The sequence below is a fragment of the Homo sapiens genome, chromosome 1, assembly GCF_000001405.40.
Source record: "Homo sapiens chromosome 1, GRCh38.p14 Primary Assembly".
NCBI classification, from domain to species: Eukaryota; Metazoa; Chordata; class Mammalia; order Primates; family Hominidae; genus Homo; species Homo sapiens.
Window position 1 is genome coordinate 109934772 of NC_000001.11, and position 10674 is coordinate 109945445.

Below are 10674 nucleotides of genomic sequence, written 5' to 3' on the forward strand. Positions count from 1 at the left end.
TGATTGCCACACACTGAGGACAAAATGGTAAATAAGAGTCAGTGAAGGAGACAGGTATTAGTAAAACAATCACACAAGTAAATATCTAGTCATAAAGTATGAATAGAATTAGGAAGATACCTAACAGGGAACCTGACCAGGGATGCTGGACTCTGCAGGCCTTCAGGAAGATTAAGACAAAGGAAGCCACATAAGGGTTACAGGCAGTGAGGCATGGTCTGTTCCTCTTCCTTGTCCAAGACTGTCAACAAGATCAAATGGAAGGCTATTTACTATTTACTGGTATGTATGGGGCACTCTGTAAAAATGCAATCACATTCTATTCTACAATAGCCCTGTAAGCAAGGTGCTAATATCCTCATCTGTAGATGTAGAAACTAAGGCTTAGAGAAACTTAACTCAGCCAAGGTCACAGCAGCTGGCAAGTAGCAATGCCTGGATTTGAAGCCAGATCTGGCTGTTTTCAAATACAGCATCATAACATCACACTCTAGCAGACATTTAACAAATGCTTCTTGCACAAAATGGACAGCTCGTGCCAGCTTGGTGGGCTTTGAGGGTCCCCAGGGCCTTAGAATTCTCCTTCTTCCTCCCCTCAAAAGGATTGTGTAGTCTGAAACTGGGCAAAAGGTGCTTATGACAGACTCCTGTTTTCTCAGTCTTGCTGCTATCCCTAAATCCACCAGGAAAGAAGAGGGACCTCTCCTGGGTGGTGTGTCCACTGCCTGGGCCTCTGAAAAAGGCCTCTCTTGACTGTCAGTCCCTCCTTCTGGCTTCTCTTGGCTTGAGTCCTTTGTGACCCATGTGTTTCCTTCCTGCCCACCCTTTGGACCTATCCCAACCACCTGGTTAATTATTGAGCCAGGTGACACCTGGCCGTTGATCACTCCAGCTGGCAGCAGCTTTGTCATCATTCTTATTTTGCCTGATTACGATTTCCCGGAAGAAAGGGCTAGAAATTTGTTCTCCCACACCCAGCCAGATCTCCAGGGGAGGTTGTCCAGGCCTGGGCTGGGGTTGCATGGGCAAGGCTGGATCAGGACCACCAAGTGTGACATCTGCAGGCTCAATATGCTCTAGTGATTCTGGGGAGACAGGCCAAAGACTAGGGGCTGAGGAATCTCACGGGTAGGAGCAGGGCCCTCACCTGGCCTGTGATATTTGGGGGATCTTCCAAGAGGTGTGACTATCAGAGGGCACTATTGGTACGCTTTCCATGTTGGTTTTCCTGAAAAGAGCTCCATGCCCACATGCAGGAAACTGTCTCTGTCTACTCTCCTGAAGAAGAGTTTCAAGTTTGAAGCTCTTTGGGTATTTGGGCCCAAGTCCTCTGCTATGTTCAGAGTATTTCTCTGTATTAACAACAACAACAACAACAAATCCTGGGGAAGGGGGTAAAAATGTGACTTTCAGAGGTGATGCATTATATTATTTTAAATGTCTAGCTTCCAACAACAACAACAAACGTGAGGCATGTAAAGATACAGAGAGTATTCCCTATACACAGGGGGGAAAAAACAATCAATAGAAACTGCTTCTGAGGAAGCCCCAACATTAGATTTACTAGACAAATATTTTAAATGAGGTATTCCAAAGTGTTCAAAGACTAAAAGAAAACATGTATAAAGAACTAAAAGAAGATATAAGAATGTCTCACCAAATAGAAAATATCAATAAAGATAAGAACATATAGACAAGGAACGCCTATAATCCTAGCAATTTGGGAGGCTAAGGCAGGTGGATCATGAGGTCAAGAGATCAAGACCATCCTGGCCAACATGGTGAAACCCTGTCTCTACTAAAAATACAAAAATTAACTAGGCGTGGTGGTGCATGCCTGTAGTCCCAGCTACTCAGGAGGCTGAGGCAGGAGAATTGCTTGAACCTGGGAGGCAGAGGTTGCAGTGAGCCAAGACTGTGCCACTGCACTCCAGCCTGGACAACAGAGTGAGACTCTGTCTAAAAAAAAAAAGGAGCCAAATGTACAATAACTGAAATGAGCATTTCACCAGAGGGGCTTAATAGTAGATTTGAACAGCCAAAAGAAAGAATCTATGAACTTGAAGTTAATCTCAACTGAGATTACCCAGTCTGAGGAAGAGAAATAACAAAGAAACAATGAAGATCAGAAAAAATAAACAGAGCCACAGAGGCCTGTGGAACATCTTCAAGCATACCAACATGTACATAATGGGAGTCCAAGAATGAGAGGAGAGACAGAAAGGAATAAAAAGAAGATTTCGGCCAGGTGTGGTGGCTCACTCCTGTAATCCTAGCACTATGAGAGGCTGAGGTGGGTGGATCACCTGAGGTCAGGAGTTTGAGACCAGCCTGGCCAACATGGCAAAACCCTGCCTCTACTAAAAATACAAAAATTAGCCAGGCATGATGGCAGGCACCTATAATCCCAGCTACTCGGGAGGCTGAGGCAGGAGAATCACTTGAACCTGGGAGGCAGAGGTTGCAGTGATCTGAGATTGCACCACTGCACTCCAGCCTGGGTGAAAGAGCAAAACTCCATCTCAAAAAAAAAAAAAAAAAGAATGTTTGAAGAAATAATGCTTGAAAACTTTCCAAATTTACTGAAAGACATTAATCTACACATCCAAGAAGCTCCATGTACTCTCAGTAGGATCAACTCAAAGAGAGACACAGACACATCACAATCAAACTTTCAAAAGACAAAGAGGGAATATTTTTTTAATTTTTAATTTTTGTGGGTACATAGTAGGTGTATATATTTTTGGGATACATGAGATATTTTGATACAGGCATACAATGCATAATGATCACATCAGGGTAAATGGGATATCCATCACCTCAAGCATTTATCATGTTTTTTTGCTACAAACATTCCAATTATACTTTTTGTTATTTTTTAATGTACTATAAATTATTGTTGACTGTAGTCATCCTGCTGTGCTGTCAAATACTAGATCTTATTGATTCTATCTAACTACATTTTTGTACCCATTACCCATCCCTGTTCACCCCTGCCCTGACTACTGTTCACAGCCTCTGGTGACCATCATCAAAGAGGGATTCTTGAAAGCAACAAGATAAAAGTAACTCATTCAATACAAAGAATGCTCAATAAGGCTCACAGCTGATTTTTCATCAGAAACCAGAGAGGCTAGAAGACAGTGAGATGGCATAGTCAAAGCGCTGAAGGGAAAAAAGTGTCAACCAAGAATTCTATATCCAGCAAAACTGGTCTTCAAAAATGTTGGAGGAATTAAGACATTTCTAGATAAACAAAAACTGAGAGAATTTGTCACTAAGCAGATCCAACCTAAAAGAAATACCAAGGAGGTCCTTCAGGCTAAATTGAAAATACACTAGATAGTAACTTGAATCCACATGAAGAAATAAAACCACCAGTAAACGTAACTACGTAGGTAAACATAAAAGACAGTATAAACGTATTTTTTCTTATTTGATTAAAAAAATTCATAAAGCATTAACGATAAATCTATGTCAATGGGAAAAATGTATAAAGATATAATTTGTGTTAATAGCAGCATAAAGGAGAGAGAGGTACAGAGCCAAATAGGAGCAAAGTTTTGTGTACTATCGGAATTAAATTGGTATTAATTTGAACTAGATTGTTATAAACTAAGTTGCTAATGGTAATCTTCAGGGAAACCACTAGAAAAACAACTCAAAAATATATAATAAAAGAAATGACAAGAAAATTAAAATGGTGCACCAGAGTATTTTTCTATGAAAACCTCACTCTCGAGGAACCAGCAAAAAATGGGGAGCCTGAACTCCCTGAGGAGGGGAGGTATGCATATCCTCTTTGTTCCTCAGCCCTACGCTTTACTCATACCTTAACATAAAATATCCAGCATTCCTTAGCTTTGCATGCCCTTTCCCAGAAAATATGTTTTCTCCTCACAACAACCTTGTGAGGCAGGCTTTATAATATCAGTTTTAGAAGTGAGGGCTCTGAGGCTCAGAGAGGTTAGGTAAACAGCTCAAAGACACACAGCCAGTTAATGTGAGAGTTGGGATTAGAGTGAGGTCTATCTTACTCAGGACTCTTTCTTCCACAGCTCAGCTCAGCACATGGCTATCAGAAATGCTGGCTTTTCCTTTGTTTCTTTTCTAAGTTTTAATTGTGGCAAATATAAAACATGTACCGGCTGGGCACAGTGGCTCACACCTGTAATACCAGCACTTTGGGAGGCTTAGGCAGGTAGATTGCTTGAGTCCAGGAGTTTGAGACCAGCCCTGGGTGATATGATGAAACCTCCCTCTACAAAATATACAAAAATTAGCTGGGTGTGGTGATGCATGCCTGTAGTCCCAGCTGCTCAGGAGGCTGAGGCAGGAGGATCATTTGAGCCCAGGAGGCTCTTGCAGTGAGCTGCAAGATCATGTGATCTTACAGTGAGCTGAGATCATGCCACTGCACTTCTGCTTGGGCAACAGAGCAAGATCCTGTCTCAAAAAAAAAAAAGTACCAAAATAAACAGATAGTAAAATGAAATCCCATGTACTCATCACTCAGCTTGAACAATTAAGCCAATATTCATCCATCTATGTTACCACACACTATTCCCTACCGCTACCTCATTATTTTGAAACAAATCCCACATATACCCATTCAAACATAATGATTTCAGTATGAATCTTTAAAAGATAAAGATTGGTTTTTAAAAACATAACTACAATACTCATCACTTCTAAAAATTAATGATCTCTTAATGTCATCCAATAATTTGTCTCAAATTTTTTTAAGTTTGTTTGAATATGGATCCAATATTCATACATTGCAATTAGTCAATATGTTTCTTAACACTTTTCATCTATAGGTCCCCTTCCCCTCATCTCTTTCCCTCAGCAGTTTATCTGATGAAAAACTTGTTTATTTGTCCCATAGAGTTTCCCAGAATCTGAATTTTTTTGGTTGCAGCCTCAAAGTGTCACTAACATGTTCCTCTGTCACTTATATTTTCTACAAATTTGGAAATTCAATCTATAGATTTAATCAGGTTCTGGATCAGTTTTTTTTGTAAGAACACTTCATAGGTGCTGTTGTATACTTTGATCAGAAGGTTATATAAAACCAGTTTCTCCTTGAAAACACCTTAAATGTCTGATACTAGGAGAATAGTTATATAATAATAGTTCATCATTTACAGTGGAATTTTATGCAATCATTACCGGTCATAGTTTTTAAAGAATACTGAGTGATATAGGAAATGCTAATCATATAATGTTAAGGAATAAATGAGAATAGAAAATACACATGGGGCTGGGCGCAGTGGCTCATGCCTGTAATTCCAGCACTTTGGGAGGCCAAGGTGGGCAGATTACTAGAGACCAGGAGTTCGAGACCAGCTTGGCCAAGATGATGAAACCCTATCTCTACTAAAAATACAAAAATTAGCTAGGCATAGTGATGCACATCTGTAATCCCAGCTACTCAGGAGGCTGAGGCACAAGAGTCACTTGAACCTGGAAGGTGAAGTTTGCAGTGAACCAAGATCACACCACTGCACTCCAGCCTCAGCGACAGGGCAAGACTCTGTTTCAAAAAATAAATAAATAAATAAGGTAATTCATATATCTGTGCATAGAGAAAAGATTAGAAGGAACCATTAATTGCAAGGAAAAATGACTGTGTTAATGGAGGCTATTACTAAGAGTTAGAATTATGGGTGATTTAATTTCTTTCTTTATTCCTTCTACATTTTCCAATTTTTAATAATACATTTATATTACTTTTGTAATCTGAAAAAATATTTTATAAAACTTGTATTTTTGTAATGAAGTTGTGATTTTTCTGAAGTCATCCACAGCAGGGCCAGGAACTGGTACCAGTCCATAGACTGTTAGGAACCAGGCCGCACAGCAGGAGGTGAGCAGTGGGCCAGTGAGCAAAGCTTCATCTGTATTTACAACCGTTCCCCATTGCTGGCATTACCACTTGAGCTCGGCCTCCTGTCAGATCAGCAGCGGCATTAAATTCTCATAGGAGCACGAACCCTATTGTGAACTGCACATGTGAGGGATCTAGATTGCACACTCCTTATGAGAATCTAATGACTGATGATCTGTCATTGTCTCCCATACCCCCAGATAGAACTGTCTAGTTACAGGAAAACAAGCTCAGGGCTCCCACTCCCTCTACATTACGGTGAGTTGTATAATTATTTTATTATATATTACAATTTAATAATAATAGAAATAAAATGCACAATAAATGTAATGCACTTGAATCATCCCGAAACCATACCCCGCTCCCTGGTTCGTGGAAAAATTGTCTTCCACGAAACCAGTCCCTGGTGCCAAAAAGGCTGGGGACTGCTGATCCACAGAATGGCAAAATGCTACCTTGAGGCAAGATCTAAACATACTAAACAGTGTGGTCATAGAACAAATTGCTAGTCCGTTGCTGGTTGGTCACTGGTTGTTTGATGACTCTGAGTGGTTATTTTGGTCACAGAAATTAGTCTGCTGGTCACGGGAGCCTGGCAAGAGTGGAGAAGGGTTCATTAGGAAGGCCAAGAGAGAAGATCCTTTGGTTCAGCTGGTCTGGCCGGTAGACTTGAGTCTTCAGAAAGCCCAGTCTCACTGCCCTGTGCCCTCTGTCAAATCGTTCACCATGAGACCAAATCACTCACACAGCCACAGAGGCGCGATCCCTCTAGCAGCAAAGATCTCCAGCAGGGCTAGACTAGTGTAGCAGCTATGGGAGGCATGCCCAAGGGTCCTGCCACCAGGACAGCAAGGCCAGACTTGAAATTTGACCAGGACAGAGGAAGATGTGAGATTTCCATTTCTGATTTCAAACTTCTTCTCCTTCCTGGTCGATGTTAACTTACATCAATACCCTGAACAAAGGAGGCATCAGATACTGATCTGTAAGAAAAGAGGATTAGATTTTAGGATCTCTGAAGCCCCTTTCCAGCTCTGACACTCTAATCTTTTCTGGACTGGTTTCCTCCAAATTCTATAAACCATTTAAACTCTAAGAAGAGACATTTTTTGTTTCCTCATTCATAAGTACTAATTTAAATCTATATCCCCACATATAGACCATCTAATTGCAGCAATGTGTCACATACACAAATCTACTCATCATGCCGCTCCACCCTTGGGAGACCACAGATCACTAGGACGACCATTCAATCAACCAGTCTCTTCTATGGTGTTCATGTCTTCCTTTAAGTGGATGATTTATTTTAAAACTTTTTTTCTTTTTATAAAGTTAGCATGAGCTGATAATAGATAAATAGGAAAATACAGAAAACTATAAATAGGAATATAAAAATCACTCTTGGTTGGGCGCGGTGGCTCACGCCTGTAATCCCAGCACTTTGGGAGGCCAAGGTGGGTGGATCACCTGAGGTCAGGAGTTGGAGACCAGCCTGGCCAACATGGTGAAACCCCATCTCTACTAAAAATACAAAAATCAACCGGGTGTGCTGGTACATGCCTATAATCCCAGCTACTTGGGAGGCTGAGGCACAAGAATTACTTGAACCTGGGAGGCGGAGGTTGCAGTGAGCTGAGATTGTGCCACTGAACTCCAGCCTGGGTGACAGAGTGAGACTCCGTCTCAAAAAAAAAAAAAAAATCACTCTTAACCCCACCGTTCAGGAATAACTACTGTCAACATTCTGTTGTATTTCCTTCTAGTATTTTAATAGTATGTTTATATCTTTACATAGTTGATATCATAATGAATGTACAGTATTGATTTTTCACATAATGTCATAATCATGAACATTTTTCCATGTCATTACGATTCTTTGTAGACAGCTTTTTACTCTTTTACCTTCTATGTTTTGTGAATTCAAAGCTTTCAGACAAGGCCAGGGAGGAAAGAGAGTTCATGTGTCTCAGGACTGGGAGAGAGATGATAAGCAGTTCTGGGAACCAAATATTCTGAGCCAAAAATTGAGCCACAAGATCTGACCGAAGTGACCTTGGGTAAATAATTTAATCTCTCTGTGACTCAGTTTCCTCATCTGTAAATTGAGGGTGATAATAGCACAGTTTTTACTTCTAAACTGTCCTGGAAAATGGCACCATCCAAGTTGTAGTTTTTATCATTTGGGAGACACAGGTATTTCAGAAGCTGTTGCTCGGTTGTCAAAACATTTGCATGTCACTGTAATGTAGGGATTGTGGGGTAAAATATTTGAAATCTTAACTGTCTTGGGAGATGTAGAATAAAAGATTACTCCTACCTAGAGGAAAGGGTATGGAGAAGGGAGTGAGGCCGAGGGACAGAAAAAGAGAAAGAGAGAGTCCTTCTAGCAAATTATCAGGGAAGAATACATAGAGGAGGAGACAATTTAAGTGGGCTTTAGAATCTTCCTTAAAAGTCATAACTCTTTGAGTTAAAAGCTCAAATACTGAGGTAGATGAACGTCATCTGACACTCCCTCATCACCAGACTGGAACTCCATTCACAGGGCCTGCCTACCACCCACCACACAGACCAGCAGAGAGAAGGCGCTCAGTTAACGTCTGTAGAGCTGATAAGAGCAAAATGGAAAGAGAAGACGAATACAACTTCCAGAACAATTATTCCCCTTTTTTATTTTTTATTTTTATTTTATTTTATTTATTTATTTTTTGAGATGGAGTCTTGCTGTGTCGCCCAGGCTGGAGTGCAGTGGCGCAATCTCAGCTCACTGCAAGCTCCACCTCCCAGGTTCACACCATTCTCCTGCCTCAGCCTCCTAAGTAGATGGGACTACAAGCCCCCGCCACCATGCCTGGCTAATTTTTTATGGAGTTTCACCATGTTAACCAGGGTGGTCCCGATCTCCTGACCTCGTGATTCGCCCGCCTGGGCCTCCCATAGTTTATTTTTTAACCAAGAACCAAACCCTGAACCAGAATTTTTGTTCTAGTGCAAGTATTCTCCACCAATTTTTCAGCACAATGTTATTCGATATGAGAATATCAGCAGAGGTCCAAGTAGAATGTACTTTAAACAGCATTTGGCTTTTTGGCTCACAGTGAATGCTCATCTGTCCCAGAAACTATTGTCTTCATCCTTTGCATGATTTAACAATTAGCAATTTTCTTTTTGTTTTCCTTTTTTTTTTTTTTTGAGACGGAGTTTCGCTCTTGTTGCCCATGCTGGAGTGCAATGGCGCAGTCTCAGCTTACTGCGACCTTCACCTCCCTGGTTCAAGCGATTCTCCTGCCTCAGCCTCCAGAGTAGCAGGGATTACAGGCACCCACCACCACACCTGGCTAATTTTTGTATTTTTAGTAGAGACAGGGTTTCACCTTGTTGGCCAGGCTGGTCTCAGACTCCTGAACTCAGGTGATCCATCCGCCTCGGCCTCCCAAAGTGCTGGGATTGCAGGCATGAGCCGCCGCGCTGGCCAACAATGAGTAATTTTCTAAAACAAAAAACAAAAACAAAACAAAAAAACTCCAACAGTATTTTTTAAAGGGAAAAAAAACACGAACAAGTTTCAGCTCCTAACTCTGCCTTGTGTTGAAATAGAACTGATGGAGAAAGGAGCAGCGATTGGAGCCACACAACCTGGGTTCTGCTCTGGACACCTTAATGAGGAGCTGGGATGAGGTGGTGGAAGCAAGATTAAGAAGGGCTTATGGAAAAGTTAAGATTTAGCCCTATGAAGGTGCCAACTTCCCCACCACTGAAATTCCTCATCATCTAGAGGTTCAAGTCACCTACAAAGGACGCAGGTTATCCCTTCACAATCAGGGCCCAATCTATCATTTAACCGTTTAACCTCATCTCCAGCCACTCACATTCACATTCACATCTAGTAAATGTTCTTCCTCCTTGCCCTTCCTTGGGCTCTCGCTCCCCTTCCCCTTCTCACATCTACTTCCTGTCCCACCACAACCTGCTAAAATGTCCTTCCTCTAGAAAGCTGTGTTGATCCTGCTAGCTGAGTTCATCTCTTCGGTCACTCCATCTGAATCTCCAGTATGTCTTTTATGTCTTTCTCATATGCCTTCAAGCTACTTAAGTGAGTGTCTTGTGGTTTTTTTATGTCTTCCTCATATGCCTTCAAGCTACTTAAGTGAGTGTCTTGTTTTTCTTATACCTAATTACAATAACACCTTTTATTTCTATAATGCTTTACAGATTACAAAGCAAGTTGGCATATATTTTATCACTTGGTCCTCACATCTGGTGAAGCAGCTCTTTCTATCGTTTACATAGAAGGACCTAAACCCAAAGAGGTTAAATAACTGGTCCAAAGTCATGATAACCCAGAGCTTTTATGCTAGCTCTCCCCTGCTGGACTGGAAGTTCCTTGAGGGCAAGAACCCTGCCTTAATTATTTTCATATCCCATCAAAACCAACACAGGAGCTGGTTCAGAGCAGATGCTCAGTAAATGAATATGTATGACCCTGGCCAATCCCTTCACCTCTCCACACCTCACAGTGCTAGGTAAAGATGTTCTTTACGTCCTTCCCAGATTCCTTTATGGCAAGAGTCAATAGCACCACTTCTCTGTATTCCCTTCTGACACCTGGATGAGCTGCATATCTGCAGGGCAATTGTCAGGATGTCCATTCCATTCTGTGCCTCTTCTTTCACTAAACACTAATGTATTAGTTTCCTATTGCCGATATAACTAATTGCTGCAAACTTAGTCACTTAAAACAACACAAATTTGGCCGGGTGTGGTGGCTCACACCTGTAGTCCCA